Source organism: Homo sapiens, chromosome 9 (assembly GCF_000001405.40).
Source record: "Homo sapiens chromosome 9, GRCh38.p14 Primary Assembly".
NCBI lineage: Eukaryota > Metazoa > Chordata > Mammalia > Primates > Hominidae > Homo > Homo sapiens.
The window spans coordinates 82,324,985-82,343,583 of NC_000009.12; the positions used below are offsets into that span (position 1 = coordinate 82,324,985).

General features: G+C 37.8%; 1 long non-coding RNA gene across 3 annotated transcripts in view, besides 1 other annotated feature; it reads left to right on the plus strand.

Annotated features, from left to right (window-relative positions):
* Nucleotides 1-18,599, plus strand: part of LOC105376107 (uncharacterized) — a 378,142-nt gene that overhangs the window by 347,740 nt on the left and 11,803 nt on the right. The window lies entirely within an intron of this gene.
* Nucleotides 6,994-8,137: an enhancer, noted in NCBI's record as "VISTA enhancer hs752". NCBI's record gives its function as "enhancer in: neural tube[4/7] | dorsal root ganglion[4/7] | trigeminal V (ganglion, cranial)[4/7]" and the evidence as "EXISTENCE:transgenic organism evidence [ECO:0001131][PMID:17130149]".

Here is an 18,599-nt window from a genome sequence, read left to right on the forward strand (position 1 = left end):
CAACCTACAGAATGGGAGAAAATTTTTGCAATCTATCCATCTGACAAAGGGCTAATATCCATAATCTATAAGGAACTTAAATTTACAAGAAAAAACAACCCCATCAAAAAGTGGGCAAAGGATATGAGCAGCCATTTTTCAAAAGAAGACATTTATGTGGCCAACAAACATATGAAAAAAATCTCATCATCAGTGGTCATTAGAGAAATACAAATCAAAACCACAATGAGATACCATCTCACCAGTTAGAATGGCAATCATTAATAAGTCAGGAAACAACAGATGCTGGAGATGATGTGGAAAAATAGATCTTTCTATGTTTTTGATGTGAGCATTTAGTGCTATAAATTTTCCTCTTAACAGTGTTTTAGCTGCATCTCAGAGATTCTGATACATTGTATCTTTGTTCTCAAGAATTTCAAAGAACTTGATTTTTGTCTTAATTTCAGTATTTACCCAGGAGTCTTTCAGGAGCAGGTTGTTCAATTTCCATGTAGTTGTATGGTTTTGAGTGAATTTATCAATCTTGAGTTCTAATTTGATCACACAGTGGTCTGAGAAACTATTTGTTGTGATTTCAGTTATTTGCATGGGCTGAGGAGAGTTTTACCTCCTATGATGTGATCAGTTTTAGAGTAAGTGCCATGTGGTGATGAGAAGAATGTATATTCTGTTGTTTTTTGGTGGAGAGTTCTGTAGATATCTATCAGATCAACTTGATCCAGAGCTGAATTCAGGTCCTGAATATCGTTATTACTTTTCTGTCTTGATGATCCAATATTGTCAGCGGGTGTTAAAGTTTGCCATTATTATTGTGTGGGTGTCTAAGCCTCATTGAAGGTCTAAGAACTTGTCTTATGAATCTGGGTACTCCTAAATTGGGTGTATATACATTAAGTATAGTTAGATCTTCTTTTTGAATTGACCCCTTTACCATTTTGTAATGCTTTTCTTTGTCTTTTTGATCTTTGTTGCTTTAAGATCTGTTTTGTTAGAAACTAGGATTACAACCCCTGCTTTTTTCTGTTTTCCATTTCCTTGGTAAAATTTCCTCCATCCCTTTATTTTGAGCTTATGTGAGATGGGTCTCTTGAACACAGCATACCAATGGGTCTTGGTTCTTTATCAAGCTTGCCATTCTGTATTTTTTAATTGGGGCATTTAGCCCATTTACATTTAAGGTTAGTATTATTCTTTGTGAACTTGATCCTGTTATCATGATGCTAGCTGGTTATTTTGCAGACTTGTTGATGTTGTTGCTTCATCGTTTCACTCGTCTGTGTACTTCAGTGTGCTTTTGTAGTGGCTGGTAACAATTTTTACTTTCCATATTAAATGCTTCCTTCAGGAGCTCTTGTTAGGCAGGTCTGGTAGTAACAAATTTCCTCAGCATTTGCTTGTCTGAAAAGGATCCTACTTCTCCTTCACTTATGAAACTTGGTTTTGCCAGATTTGAAATTCTGGGTTGGAATGTTTTTTCTTTAAAAATGTTGAGGCTGGGTGTGGTGGTTCATGCCTGTAATCCCAGCACTTTGGGAGGCCAAGGCCGAGGATCACCTGAGGTCAGGAGCTCAAGATCCGCCTGGCCAACGTGATGAAACCCCATCTCTACTAAAAATACAAAAAATAGCCAGACGTAGTTGTGGGTGCCTGTAATCCCAGCTACTCAAAAGGCTGAGGCAGGAGAATTGCTTGAACCCGGGAGGCAGAGGTTGCAGTGAGCTGAGATCACACCATTGCACTCCAGCCTGGGCAACAAGAGCTAAACTCCATCTCAAAAAAAAAAAAAAAATATATATATATTGGCCCTAATCTCTTCTGGCTTATAGGCTTTCTGCTGAGAAGGCTGCTGTTATTCTGATGGGCATTACTTTGTAGGTGACATGGCCTTTCTCCTTGGTTGCTCTTAACACTTTTTCTTTCATTTCTACCTTGTAGAATCTGATGATTATGTGTCTTGGGGATATTCTTCTTGTGCAGTATCTTACTGGGGTTCTCTGCAGTTCCTGAATTTGAATGTCGGCCTGTCTAGCTTGTTTGGAGCTCTTCTGGATAATATCCTGAAATATGTTTTCCAAATTGATTCCATTCTCCCTGTCTCTTGTAGGTACTCCATCAGTTGTAGATTTGGTCTATTTATATAATCCCATATTTCTTGGAGTTTTTATTCATTCCTTTTTACTCTTTTTTCTCTATTCTTTTCTGCTTGTCTTATTTCAGAAAGACAGTCTTCAAGCTCTGGGATTCTTTCCTCTATTTGTTCTTTTCTGCTATTAATACTTATAATTGTATTGTGAAGTTCTTGTAGTGTTTTTCAACTCTGTCAGGTCAGTTATGTTCCTGTCTATACTGGCTATTTTGGCTGTCAGCTCGTGCATTGTTTTATCATGATTTTGAACTTTCTTGAATTGAGTTAAAACATGCTTCTTTATCTCAGTGAAGTTTGTTTTTATCCACCTTCTGAAGCCTGCTTCTGCCATTTCAGCCATCTCAGCCTCAGCCCAGTTCTGAACCCTTGCTGGAGAGGTCTTCTGGTCATTTGAATTGTAGCATTTCCCTTACCTGCTTTTTTTTCTCTGTAGCACTTATCTCCATCTAAACGAATATATTTTCTTTCTTTAGTATATTTTATTTTCTTTGTTACCCTTACTAGACTATAAGACACTCCAAACTATATGATGAGGTGAAGAACTTTTTCTGTTTTGATCTCTGATACTGTATTCACAAAGGACTAGAACAGGATTAGCCTGTCGTAGGCAGTCACTAGGCACTGGCCATGGTAACCTCAGGTTAGAGAGTTGGCTGAGGAGGGTATATGACTGGATACCACAGTCTTACCACAGCATGTGGAGGCTGAGTGGAATGCATATCTGGGAGATTGGTTGGGATGGGGAGTGAACTCCCCTTCAGTGGGGCCTGCTAGCGCTATCTCCATCTCAGTGAGTCCATAAACTAATATGAGCAACAGTCATTACAGCCAAGGACAGGAATATAATCTTGCCTAGCCAAGTTGGAACTTTAATTTTTCTTTCTCTCACTTTTGTCCAACTCCTGAGCAATCAACACAAAGAAGGGAAAGGTGCAGGATGTAGGGTGGGTGGGTAGGGAAGATGAAGAGCTCACCACCCTCCACTCAACTCCAGACTGCCAGAGTCAGTCTGTCCTACCCTGGAGTCAGGAGAAAAATGCTGAATCAGATATGGGATTGATGTTTAGTTCTTGATAGGACTATGTCTTCTAATACTGAAGTAAGATTGTTCTAATAAACAATATTCACTGGACAATTATGGAATCTGCCACAGTTTCATTAAGGGAGTCACAACCCAGAAGGACAGGTCGATTCTACACAGTAGATTTGGAGAAATATATTAGGAAAAAAACTCCTATAAAACCGTTAATTGTTTATAATCCAGAAAATTAATACTACTCAATAGATTGGTTTGCTTTTTTTTTTTTTTTTTTTTTTTGGGTGACAGAGTTTTGCTCTTGTTGCCCAGCTGGAGTGCAGTGGCGCAATCTTGGCTCACTGCAGTCTCCGCCTCCTGGGTTCAAATGGTTCTCCTGCCTCAGTCTCCCGAGTAGCTGGGATTACAGGTACCTGCCACCATGCCTAGCTAATTTTTGTATTTTTAGTAGAGATAGGGTTTCACCATGTTGGCCAGGCTGGTCTTAAACTCCTGACCTCATGATCCACCCATTTTGGCCTCCCAAAGTGCTGCGATTACAGGTGTGAACCACCACACCTGGCCAGATTGGTTTGCTTTTACATTGGATATTATTATCCCATTTTAGAGAGGGTAGAAATTAAGGCTCAGAAACAAATAATAACAAATTTAAGGCCATACCACTAGAAAGCATTAGCCAGGATTAAATATCAGGCCTACTGACTACAATGTCTACACTTTATTGTTGAGGATATTTTCTCACCTGTAATGAAAAGGAAGGAAAAAGCAAAGGACACACACACCACACAAACACACACACCTCATCTTTTTCTGCCCAAATTAGTTTACATTGTTTCTATAAAGGTGCTGAATCCAGGTTTTCTTTCTCTCCACAGGAGTCTTCTTAAACAGTTTGATATTTCCAAATTCATGAAACTGGAATATTAACCCAGCAGCATCAAGAAATATTAATACACTAGCATGGTTTGGTTGTACTCACTCCTTCACGTAGTTTATGCCTCTGTATTTTTCAGTAACATGCAATTAATAACTAGCATTCAGTTAAAAGCTAGAATTACTTCATTAGCTTAGGCAAATTATCTTTTTATGCTGGTGATAAATAAGCAGCTATTAGCAATGATTCACATTAGTTCCATGGTTTAAAACAGCTAATTTCCTCCTGGAGGCTTTGCAGCACACGTGCTAATACTTTTCCTCAATGTACTCTTATTATGGTACTCATGCTAACAAGGTCCCCCTCGTCTCTTGAACAAAACTATACATTTGTGTTCACTGTAAGGCTAGGCTTGGTGGAACCCACTCTGTTAGAGGCAAGTATTTTTGTTTAGATCTCTAGATAGGTTTAAAGGTATAGAGTGAGATATGTAAGACAGACTAGTTGGTTCAAATGTTGGACGATTTTCTTAACATCACAAATTGTGCTGCAGGAGAAGGCAGTCATGCTGGGGAGAAGGGGGCTGACGGCCCACAGTCTTGTTCACGCTCCCTGTCACCTCTTCTGTTGTCCTTTGCCTTATCTTTCTACTTTGTTTCAGCAAGTCCTCAGGTAGCCTCAAAATGGCCTCAGTCAGCTTCTTTTCAAGGTTTCATGTATATATATCTGTAGAGTATAATACTCTTGCCTCTGGTGTTTAACCAGTAAAATGACTGGTCCTGAGAGTTTTGCCTCATTGACTATCAGAACTTAAGTAGACATTCAACTAGTTACCAAACTCAACATATACCTGATTTATTTATAGAACATTGAAAACAGACCTTACACAACATCCAAGTGCTACAAATGTATTAGGAGAAAATCAGCAGATAAAAGTATATTGAAAGAATAGATTATTCTGATTGGTGTCTTTGTTTATACTCATGATATTCTTTCTTGATAACTGGAATATATTTGATATTAGTTGAACAATGGTCTTATAGTCTAACAAACAAGGATTCTTATAACTTTCTCAACAGAGATAATACCACATTTTAAATTTAATTTTCCTTTTGTATAAAAACAACTTTTATTAAGCAACTAAGTCTAATTCTAGCTTAAAATATATTTATAAAGGATTTTAGAGGAAACTGTTAAAGAAACAAATGCCTAGATATAACTTGGTACTATTTTCAGTAAATTATTATTGTTAAATATAACCTGGGTTTCCTTCTGGTAGTGGTAGTGTTTCCTTTCATTCATTTTGAATCTCTTAATTAAGTCAAAGTCTTTTCTGTTTGTATTATGCTTCAGAGTCTTGGGCAGGCCAACAGAATTTATAAAAAAAATGGGATAAATGCTCTTCCAAGGTCTTATCGTAGTCCAAAGGAAGGAGTGACCTGTGATTCCATTGGAACTTTGAGGATAAATCAGAAAGGGAATCAGAGAGAACAGCATGCTTGGCAAAAGAAGGAGCGTGGGGAATGAAGCTGTAGAAGTAAAAATAACCTGGGAATTCCATAATCTAGGATGGAGATTAAGGAGAAATTGCTGGAGATACAGATGGAAGGGTACTTTGGGAAAAATCTTCAGTGTCATGGAAAGACATTCTAAAGCATTTGTACTTGATTGGCAATCATTGATAGGTGTCTTTATTATTATTAAAGTGATTTAGAGAAGATAGTGATACAATCAGGAAGTTTTCCATGATCTGTTGGAAACATGACTGACAGAAATGTAGATATTGGAAAGACAACTGAGCAGGCTATTGTAATAATCAAAACTACAGTGTTTGGAAGCAGGCAGTGGCCGTGCAAATGGAAAGAATAAGATGTATTCAAGTATTTGAGTCAACAGGACTTGGTGACCTTTTTGAAAGGATGATGTACAAGGAAAAGGAGAAACTAAAGAAGGCTCCTTAGTTTAAAAGGCTCCTTAGATAAAAGGCAGTGTCCTTTCCTGAAGGAGCACATCTTCATGTCTGAACTCATATATTATATTAGTAACATAATATTCCTTTCTCTAAAACAGAAAAACAATAGTTGTTTATTGTCTATAAATACCTTGGAATGATCCTTGCTGACCTTAATAGTGCCATAATAGTGCTATCCCCAAACTCATTGGCATATAAAATTAGCATCTTGTTTGCACATCTGTATATAATTAGAGCTCACGTGATATAGGAGGATTCAGTTGGGCTTTGTGCCATAGTGTCTCTCATCCTTCTTGGACTAGCAGCTACTGGAGACATTTTCTTCTTATGGCAAAAGGCCTGGGCACAGGAGAACCAGCTCAACTGTGCATGAAAATTTTAAACATTTTTTCATTGCATGGCCTCCAACACTCCATTGGCCAAAGCAAGTCACATGGCCAATCCCCCGTCAAGGGGAGAGAGGTATTTTCTACCCACTGTGAATCAATGACACAGGTATGTGTCAGAAGAATAAAACATTGAGACCAAAGTCAATCCACAGTACTCTATATGGCTGTTTTTGTTACTCTGAGAACTGAGATTCCCTTTTCTTACTGAATAAACATGTCTCAAGTTTTTATGGTTAATCTTAGGATGATGCAGGGCCATCCCAATTGACCCTAATCCAACCAATGGTACTGCTGGATTTTGGTGACTATGTAACTGCCTGTAAATAGGTGTCTAGGTTGGACTGTCATGCTCCCTTTAGGTTATACCACTCATCAGCAATACAGCTCTGCTGCTGTAGCAAATCTTAATATTTTCCCTAGAGATAGGCCAATTCCAAGGTATTGACCAGCTCTGATCCTGTTTAACTTACGAGAACAATCAAGCTCCCTACTTGAGGTGATACCATATTTACAGTTCTTGGGAAAGAATGACTAAATAAATGTCACGGAGAGGAAGCCATAAGAGGCAGTGTCTGCCTCTGCCTGGAAATGCTGTGTGTGTCTTTGATTCTGTCTCCATTGTCACCTGGAATGCTTTACCTCGGTTGTTTAAGGGTTTTCCACTGCAGTTTCTTTTTGCTATCTCTTGCATTCCTTCCCATAAAGTAGGCAGTTTACAGTAATAGCATTGGAATGAAGCTCTACTTCAGGCAGGAAAGGTTAAACATTTTAAAAATGCAAACCAGATAAAATTTTAAAAACCTCAAAATAGTCTTGGAGCCACAATGCCTCTGTGCCATCCCCAGCCATTCTCTTTAACAAAAGACATCCCTCTCTTATGCAAGCTTCTCATTTGTCAGAGGAGAGATTTCCCTGTCTCCTCGGCGCACACTCTGTATAATTTAAGATGACTCACTGTACAGGAAAGTTCACCTTCCATTAGCATGTTTTCTTTAGTAAGCACTCTCTTGCAAGTGCTGTAGTGTAAACATGAGTGCCTACGAATATGAACATTTATTAAATAGCACTGATGAATATTTCAATACCTCGGGGAGAGCAATTCACAGCTCAATCATTCAAGCTGTTTTAAGTGCAGCACAGGACAATTCCACTACATCTTCCATTAATATTTAATTGCCCATTTTATTCTGTTTACCTTTTTGGTTAATATATAATTTAAAGCTCTTCTACTAAAAAGGGGGAAAAGAGAACAGCTGTTCATCTGCTTTTAACAAATCTCTGGTGAGAGCTTTTACCTCATTTAAAATTCATTGCAAAGAGTTTTTATTTAATATCAGTAACACAAAACCTTAGGTATTAAAAGTAAAACTTGGAAGTGACTGTCATGCAAAAAGCTTAGCTGTGACTTGGGTTTGATTACACATCCATTCCTGAGTGGCAGGCATTGACAGGAAATGTCTGAATCGCCAGCAATGGCGCCATGTGTCACGTCCTCATGAAATAGAATCACCGTAACTCGACCTGACACATTCTGACAACATGTTGGAAAGTTGTTATGCACCCTGCAGAAAGTCAGTACTGTCATCCTGGCAATGCAGATTTTACTGACGAGATAAAACACATATCTGCTTGCTAAAGGACAAGGGAGTCAAATAGGTGCATGGCCTTGAGGATCTGGGGAATCCCTGAGGCACTAAAGATTCACTTCTCCTTGGCCCTCCTTTGGTGATTGCCACCAGTTTCTCTTTACTGGTTCAGATTCCCAAGGCCTATCTCTTGTCATGTGATAGCTTTCCTTTCCTTTCCTCCTAGTGGGCTGCAGTTTGTGTGTCACAAGTCTGTTTCTAAACTGCTCCCAGTGGCAGGGACCTTGACATTAATGACAGATCTCTACATTTTTGGGGTCTCCCAGGCCCCCCAGGTCAGTAAGTAAAACCCACCCCAGATCCACCCCAGAGAGAGTCACCATATCCTTTCTTTCTCAGTCACCTGGAATTAGCTGCTTTCTAGAACAATGAGCTACATAATCTGTTTTTTTCCTGTTCAACTTATTCGTTGCAGTGGATTCATTCCTCCTGTTTAAATATTCCCAGCATGGCCAAGTCAGCAGCAGCATGAACCTCAAAAATACCATCACCACTGTCATTTCACTTGAGCTCAGGAGTTTCTTCTCCAGGGTGGGCTTTCCTTATTTGCTTTTGCATCACTTCATTATTGCTTTCCCCAGTCTCTGCTGAGTTTGGTTCACTTTCTTCATCAGACTCTCCTTCAATAGACACTCTCACATAATGCTTCCTTTCACTCATTCATTTATTCAGCATCTGATCCAGTGTTCTGAAAATATAGGCATTCAGTAGGGAGGAAAGGAGAGAGGAAGAGAGAAAGAGAAGAGCCACCTGCCTTTATAGAGCTTACATTATTCGTGGAGGAGTCACTTGATTTTGAGCTGTATTGATGACTAACATAGGCATCATGGCACTCTACCTCTGTCCTCCCCTGGATACTGGGATGTTCCTTTAGCTGCGTCCAGAGTGCCTCAAGATTCATCTAGAAAAGGAAAGAGATCAAATACTATTATAATTAGATTGTGAAGACATCCCCAATGGTTCACTTCTCCCTGTATCAACACCCTCTGAGGCTCATCCAATGAGGTGAAGTCTGTTTTTTTACCTCTTGAATCTAGGTTATCCTTGTTACTTGCTTTGGCCAATAGAATATGGATAGAGAAATGATGTGTGAATTCTGAGCCTAGGCCTCAAGAGGCCTGTTTGCTTCTATTCCCTTTTGGACCCTGGCTCTGCCTGGGCTAGCCTCAGGAAGATCAGACACTCCTAAAGGAGCACATCTTCATGTCTTAACTCACATATTGTATTAGTAACATAATATTCCTCTCTCTAAAACAGAAAAACAACAATAGTTGTTTATTGTCTATAAATACCTTGGAATGAACAGAGACATCTCTGCTGAGGCCATTCTATGATAGCCAGCCAGCCTCTATACATGAGAGTGGGCCTGAACAAGATCAGCAAAGTGCTTACACAACACAAGTTGACCACAGATGTATGAGTGATCCTAACTAAGACCAGAAGAACTTTCCTAACAAGAAGGGCAGAAGGCCAGTTCTCCCATATACTTGTGAGCAATAAAAATGCATAATGTTTTAGGCCACTAAATATGGGGGTGGTTTGGAATGCTGTAATAGCTAACTGACAAAGGTATTCTCTAAACTTTTCTTATAGTCCACTTAGGTGAGACATACTCCTATACTCTCTGCCTCCCTTATCCTGTGGCAAACCCCACTCAACCAGATCTTAGGATTTGACAATTTGAATTTATTTTTAAAATTGTTTCAAGTTTCAGGGCCAGGCAACTGGATCAAATCCCTTAAAAATTGAGCTCAGACCACGGTGAGCTAGAAATAAAATGAGAACCAAAGGCTGAAGGAAGAGGAAAGACGTGGTTTAAATTTATTGGAAGAGAGAATTGTATAACAGTTTGGATTGATTTGTATCTCATCAGAAAGGGCTCACATATCTCTGGGTATAGCCATTTACCAACTTGAATGGAAAAACTGATGCCATGATGTAACTGTATGCAGTTCAAATTGTGGTTACAACTCACATTTCCATCCCTCTTCCCCCATTATCCTCTGTATTAATTCAATCACAGGAGTTAGGTGAGTTGGTGGGGAGACCTATGAAGTCATCTTGTTTTTTTCCCAAGAGCCATATCTGAGTTTCTACCCATAGTGTATTTTCAAATGCTTTCTCTAATATGCTTGAAAATGGCTTGAGCAATGATCTACCCTAAAAGCTTTAACTGGAAATAAATTCTATAAGCACTTTACCAGAAGAGAAATTAATGCAGAGAAAAATAATTGGAGTTATATCTGACCAAAACCCATGTAAGCAAGGAAATTTAGAGTAATGTTCAGATTTTCTTCCTCTCTTCTCCTTTCTTTGCTCTGTGTTTTGCTACAGAGGTATCAGATACCTTTCAGTGGGGCCTAAGAGAACATAAGGGTTAGAATTAGGTCTAATCATGATTCAGGGACTACTCAATTACATGACTGGTCTGAATTTCCTAGATATAGGCAAATCCTCAAAGGTTTACCAAACTCAACAAATTCAGATGATTTGTAAGGAGAATAATTTGATCTGTAGAGAATCACAATATTTTATTGCATTACAACTGAGCCTATGCAAGCATCTTATAGTTTGTAAATTATGGCCTTAGGAGTCTCAAATCCTGGGTTTGGCCCTAGTGTCATTGCTTTGACTTTATATAGAATATCCTTATTCCTAAAATATCAAAGTGGAATAAGGGGATCCAGACTGGAGTAATTTCTGAGCTGGGTGGATTTTCATGGGTTTCTACAATAGCTGGTGAGGAATCTAGAGTTGAGAAAACATGAGTATGAATCTCACATAAGGGTTAGCATAATCTTGGTCAAGGTTACCTAAATATTTGAAATCTCAATTTTCTTATTTTTAAGATGGAGAAAATAAGATATTTCTCCTATAATTATTAGGATCAAATAAAATAATATATGTTAGAGGAAATAGACCAGTACTTCCCCAAGTGTGTTCTATCCTGTGTTAAAAGGGGTTATGTATGAAAAGTACTCTGGGAAACTGTGTCAAGTGAAATTAAACAGTTTTCTCTGCTGTAGGACTTCATAGAGTTTTTAGTAGACTAGAAGTCAGAGTGAATCTCATTTTTTAGATCCATTTGACTACGGCACTACAATATCAGTAGGAAAGGTATTATGCAGAACATAGTAAGTGTCCAGAAATGTTAATTTCCTTGCCTGTTCCTTCATCATGGACTGGTCCTAGTGGCTTGGTAAGCTTTTAAAGGTGGATCTGTTTTCTGATTCTCTCGACCCCATTCTCCAATGTTTCCATAGTGAGGAGATTACTGACTTAAGCGTGGTTATCCTTTCAAACCTGTAAGACTAAGTTTTGCCACTCTGGGCATAGGATGTTGTTCCCAGTCCTCAAGTCCTCTGTTACAGTCTAAAAAAAAGTGGGGGCTTCTGTCCACCTGACATCCTTTGCCCCATCTCTCTAGATTTGCTGTTGTAACCATTGCATAGATCTGAAATAATTGCTTTTATGCAGAGTGGATAGTGTTGACTACATCAATACTTACTATTTTAACTATATGAAAGTGAGATAGAATAGCCTCTTACATATTTATTGATATGTTTATCTGTTTGCTGATTTCTAGCTATAAATTTTAAAAATAACATTTATTAGGTTGGTGGTAACGGAATGATTAAAATGCATAAGTAAAAAAGGCTCATCATACCATCCCACATCATGCTTGTTAGCATTAAAACAAATTCCCTTGATTAGAAAATTCAAATAATAGTCAAAAATAAGAAATTAAAAGTAAAAGCCCCTATAACTAGAGATTTAGAGCAGCTTTATTCATAATTGCCCAAACTTGGGGGCAACCAAGATGTTCTTCAGCAGGTAAATGGATAATCTGTGGTACATCCATACAATGGAGTACTATTCAGTACTAGAAGAAATAAATGATCAGACCGTGAAAAGACATAGAAGAACCTTAAATGCATACTACTGAGTGAAAAAAGTCGATCTGAAAAGGCTATGTACTATATGATTCAAACCGTATGGCATTCTGGAAAAGGCAAACAGTAAAGAGGTCAGTGTTTGCCTGGGGCTAGGGGGAGAGAGGGACAAATAAGCAGAGCACAGAAGATTTTAGGGCAGTGAAACTCTTCTGTATAATACTATAATGGTGGAGCCATGTCGTTATACATTTGTCCAGACTCACAGGATGCACAACACCAACGGTGAACCCAAATGTGAACTATGGACTTGGGGCGATAATGATGCATCAGTGTAGGTTCATCCATTGTGGAGAATGCAGCAATCTGGTAGGGGATGTTGACAGTCGGGGAGGCTATGCATGTGCAGGGGCATTGTGTATCTGGGAACCCTCTATACTTTCTGCTCAATTTTACTGTGAACCTAAAAATAAAGTGTATTTAAAAAAAAAAGTAAAAGTCTCTCTTTCTCACATTGGGCTCTCTTTCTAAAGGCAATCAAGTCTTACATATCTTTGTCAGACAGAATTGCTATACATAAATTGGCAGTACACATACATATATGTACATATGTATGTGCTTCTGTATATAAAATACATATTTTATTTATACAAGGGAATCTTATGTCTCTGTCTATCTTTTCCATTCTAATGGGTAAAAATAGCATCTCATATTTGTCTGAATTTACATTTTGAGCTTTGAATAAGGTTTAGTCACTTTTCATATGATTAATGCTCTCTTGTATTTGTCTTCTGTGTGCCTATCCTTTGCTCATTTTTTGATTGAGTTATTCTATTTTTAAAAATTATATGTTTATATTACCTCTTTTTAAATTAAGAAAATTATCCTGATATTTAATATATGTAAATTGAAAAATATTTTATATATATTGTAAAAATGTTTCCTATTTTGCCATTATTTTATTTTTCCATATAGAAATTAAAAATTTTTATACTGCTAAATTTATTATTCATTATTTTTTATATGTTCTTCATCATGTGCCTTGACCAGAAGACCTTTTATGTTCTAAGATTGTAATAATTTTATTTGAACTTTTATTGAGAACTTTTGAAGATTCATTCTTTTTACATTTAAATCTTTGTTATAGCCAGAATTTGTTTTGGCATAAAGAATAATAGAAGGATTCAACCTTCATATTTCCAAACAGCTATTCAATTGTTTTGACTTCATATATAGGCAATCCTGCTTTTCTCCATGGATGAAAAATGCTACATTTAAATTAGTATCCTGTATGTATTTTGTTCTACGTCTGAATTCTCTGTTAAATTACTTTGTATACTCCTATTCATAGCAGTTATCATTTTCTGAGATAGGTTTTCCCAAGAAAGGAATAAAATAAACGTTTTTTAAGTAGAAAAAGCTGGGTTTTTATAAGACTGAAGATTTATTATAAAATGAAACTTTTAAGCCTAACAATTTACCATTCAAATGTTTAGACAAACTTACTGAATTAGAAAATTTTATGTGTGTGTCTATATCTGTGGGTGTATGAGAGAGAAAGCCAGACAGACAAACAGAGAGACAAATGCAGAGAGAGAGAGGATTTTATCATTTTATTGATGTAAGACTTTAACACTAGCAGTAAAAGAAAAAAATACTAAAACTGGTTATTTTATACACCCCAAGTTCCAGTTCTCAACAGGGTAATTTTATTGTCAGGTTGCTATAATTCTAAAACTTAAAAAGTGATAATAAGCTCTGTAAAAATAAACATTTTTATTCACCAACTGGAAAGAGCAAAGTCAATGCAATTTACACAATTATCCTCCTAAAATTTCTGTGTAGTGAGCCAGTCTTACTATTCACATTTAAAGATGGGTGGGAAAGGTAAAAAGAGGTAAATCTTCTGATTAAAACTAGAAATGAATCAGGGCAAGGACTAGAACCAAACCCCCAAAGAGACAAGTGCTCTCTATATAATAGATACACTCATTGGAAAGAGCAAGGCTGGATATTTGCTTGGCTTTACTTTGTTGTTATTGTTAAAGGATACTAAAGTTAAAGGTCATAGCTAATGGTGAAACCTCACAGAGCATGTGAAACCTTCAACAAAGCTTTCCAAAATGACTCGACTTTACTTCCAGCATCCAAATGTGGGTATAATGATCCCTCAGAGATTATTAAATCAGAGAAATTTTAAATAAATCAAACCGAAGCTTCAGAACTATGGGGTAGGGCCAGGAGTATCCTCTTTATCTTTGGGCAGTTGCAATTATGCCTGTATGTTTTCACAATTTTCAGAGAGGAACTTGGGAGTAGATTCTAATCTAACAGTTCATTTCCTGTATCAAAAGGCATGGTACATATGCTATTTCCTTTCTGATTACATCCTTCCTAAATGTTGTTCTTTCACCAAAATTAAACTGTTTTGTTACCTTTCTTAAAGCAGGGATGATTCCATTCAGTTATGATAGTCACTGTCTAAGCCCCTTGCTTTTTATGAAAATAACACAAATTCAAAAACGAATCTCTTAAAAACCTGTCTGTTTCTTTCCCATTTCTTTCTGATGCTTCTTGTCTGGATTTATCAGATGAAAGATACTCTATCTTTATCAGCAGTAGCACTATTATCTGTTCACTTCCGAATTCTCATGCTTTCAGTAGAAGGAATCTGATCCCTAAATCAGACAAATCTCTAGTCTTTTATATTTGTAAAGACAGCTGCAAGTAATTTTTTAGTGTCTCTACGATTTCCTTTTCCATTGTCTCTAATTCCCCCTGTTGTTATTGTAAGTGCACACAATTTATCCTTGATGTTTGTCCTCTTAAATACACATAGCACTTGCAAAAACAGTTTTTAAAAATTGGTTATAATGTTCTGTTATTTCTAGTGCTTGCTATTTAAATTTTATCCTTTAATTTTTGATTACCTGTTTGCAATTTTGACCTTTATAAGCCAGACTTTTTCATTTTAACTTAATGACTATTTTTTTAACCTTTCACAATATGGGTAATTCAATACCCAGAAGAAAGGAACAAAACATCTTCACCAGCTAAATCCGCTTATGACCCTAGAAAACTTCCTTCTAAGTGACCACCATAAGCACAGGAGTTCTGAGGCTCCAGGGAAACTCCTTTTCCTTCTCATTCATCTCTCCCAGCCTGAGCATGCTGGTTGTCGACCAAGCTTCAGCGAGACCAGCATTGCCACCTACTTGGGTCCTCTATCTGGAGTCACACTCTGGCTCACCTAGTTCTGGGCACACTTAACTCTACTAATAAGCAATTTGTAAACTTCATACCTCTTTCAAAACACTAGAGGTATCTTACCAGGTTGAACAGTTCAGTTTTGTTTCAAGCTGTGCCAGAGAAGCACTGTGCACATTTTCAGGGTCTCAGATTGTCAACAGTCTTGGCACTGCTTTCTGTCACCTCCATGGTGGATGAGGAAGTACAAATGTTGTAGAAGAAACTATCTAGAGACTGCCCAATAACCCAGACTTAATGTTTTAGCAGTGTGGTTCTGCTCATAGTCTCCCACTATACCATGCTGTGACTCCATCACAGCCTTCGCCTAGGACACCCTCCTGCTGGTCCTCCTCTTAACATCCTGTTAACATCTCAGATAACTTCTACTTGTTCCTTAAGAAAATTTTCATTTTTGTATGCATGCACTTAGTTCAGAGGGCCAGCTATTTCCACAAGGCAGGTTAAGGCTAATCAGTGCCTAGTTTCCTTTCTTCAATTCCCCCACCTAGAGTCTATCACTTTTTACTTGTTTACCTTATTCTTTGGGTATTTACATTTTAGGTATTATTTGTTGACTTCCCAGTATGGAAGATGAGCATTTGGTTCTCCCCTACTGATCACTCTCTAATATGTCTATTCCAATATCTTTATCACTCTGTTTATAGCCTTAGAGTATTTGATAGTCCTTGGATGTCTGCTCATATTTCCAAGTAGGGGCACATCACTTATTGGAAGCTCTAAGCATGTGAGTGGGATTAATTGGCAGTATCATCATTGTAGGGTGACCTGGTTAAGGTGATGTTGGAGAACTCCAGATTTCATATCATTTTGTCTTTTCTCATGTCGCAACAGTTTTTCGAGAAGATCTCTGGATCTCAGTTTAATGGACTTTGAGACTTGGAAACATGAGCTCTAAAATTCCCTTCATATATCAAATATTCTACATATCTTTTCCCCCCTCTAACTAGAAATAAGCAATATGGTAGTAAAAAGGAATCCATAGAGCAAACTTTGTTATTTGTCCAGGCATCAAACGGTTATAATTGGCAAAAACAGTTGACATTTCACCACAACATGGGTTGAATTTTGTTTAAAAACAAGTAATAATTAAAATGTAATTAAGAATAAAAAATTAGATTTATGGTTTTAAAAAAGAATATGTAATAGTAATGTGTATTGCCCCTGCCTTTGAAGTCATGCCTGATTTTAAGAGATATCACGAGTGAAAACATTGAAGTGTGCTGAAGAAAGCAGTAACTTATTCTGAAGGGTCTCAGTAAATGCAGGAAATCTTGGGAAATTGCAGGAAAAAAATGATTCTATCACAAATTTTAACATCAGTTCACTGGATGCTTTCTTCCACATGCAGCTGAATCTTGATTTATTTTGTTAATGAGCACTGTGCTTTACTATAAATTTTCTTCTTACTGTGTGCATTACTAATACTTGCAGATTATTTTTCTGGTAAGGTATGATTTATTTTGAAGATTTTAATTTTTGGCGAAGGGAGTCAGATTAACATTAGGAAGTAGATTGAAATTTTGTTTTGTTTTATTGTTTAGAGTTTTTGAACTTTTTTGTTTTTGAACCAGAAAGAATATTGAACACAGAAAGTCATGGATTCTGTGTCAGTTTAATAAAATAGTAAAACTTTTTAAGATTGGCTCAGTGTGAAACAGCCTTGTTGCTTGGGGTAGCACCTGAAATTCTTGGTCTCATGGCCGAAGAAATCAAGAACGCAGACACACCAAATGTCAGGTTAGAGCAGAAGCAGAAGTTTAATAGGCAAAAAAAAAAAAAAAAAAAAAAAAAAAAAAAGAGAACAGCTATCTGCAGCAGAGAAGGGTCCCAAAAAGGGTTGCCATTCAGCAGTGAAATGCAAGTGTTTATAAGCTAGTGGGGAAGCAGCATCTTATCTACATAGGGTGTGAAAAACTGGTTAGGACCAGGTGTGCCATCTGAATAGAGGGTGAATCTCTGGCAGCCCCCACATCAATCTTTTATTACATAGGCAGGTCCTTTGCCTGAGCTACTCCATGTTGCTTTCCTACTGTGTATGTGTTAAAAAGCAGGAGGTGGAGCCCCCATGGTGACATGCCTGGCCCCCAGCTACCCCTTTCTATCGGTGCAGCTGCAGGCATTCCCCGCTTGCAAACTTCCAGCTTCCTTATCTATGTTTGCAGCCTGATCTTCCAGGCTGCTCTTTATTAGAAAAGAAGTGATTTCTTGGGCTGCTTTTTGCCAGAAGGGAAGTTCTGCCGAGGACTTTTTTCCCGAACTATTTGCCTAGCTAGTTTTTTTCTACCTCCTCTCTCAAATGCATATTCGTACCTCCAAAAGCATATTTTATTTTCTGAAGAGATAGCCTATTTCTTCACTTAGGATAAGAAATTAAAGTTTTAATCTCACAATTATCTAATATTCTTTACCACTAACCTCAAACAAAGGTAATGAATTACTTCTAGCAGTTTCCTCACCGAGCACCAAAGTTATTCTTAAAAACTAGATATGGTTTGGTTCTGTGTCCCCACCCAAATCTCACCTATAATTGTAATTCCCATAATCCCCATGCGTCAAGGGCGGGACCAAGTGGAGGTAATCAGATCATGTGGGCAGTTTCCCCCACGCTGTTCTTGTGATAATGAGTCTCATGAGATCTGATGGTTTTATAAGCGCCTGAGATTTCCCCTGCTTGTACCCACTCTGTGCTGCCACCCTGTGAAGAAGGTGCCTGCTTCTCCTTTGCCTTCTGCCATGATTGTAAGTTTCCTGAGGCCTTCCCAGCAATTCGGAACTGTGAGTCATTATATCTCTTCCCTTTATAAATTACCCAGTCTCAGGTAATTCTTCATAGCAGTGTGAGAATAGACTAATACACCACACTTCTGTTATCATGGCTTCAGGCTTGACCTGAACCCCTTCTTTTATCCTGCCAATCCACAGTGGCATGCATGCTTTCTTTACCTTTGGTATGTCTTCAGTTTCTATTCTCTTGTCTTCTTTTAAGACCCTATGGGCTACCCCTTTCTTCCCTATCTACCTTTGCCAGGCATGTAAAACTTCCTTTTTCCCTTTTTCATGCCCTGTGCCCATGGTCAGCAAAACTACCCCCATACTTAGCCTTGACTGCTGACTCCATTTTGGGCAGAATCTTCTCACTTAGGCCCTCCTCCATCCCAGGAGAAGAACTAGGTCACAAATACGGTTGTTTCCCAGCTGGTATTTCTGAAAATGTAAATGAAAGACAGTTTAAGGGGAAGAGCCTGGAGGAAAATGAGGCTAATTTGCTTTACCATTTTTTTTAACTGTCCAAATGTAACCACTACCGGAGGCCTTTAATTTAAATTCTGGAGCTCTAGGATCTGTGAGACTCCCCATCACATTCTCTCAG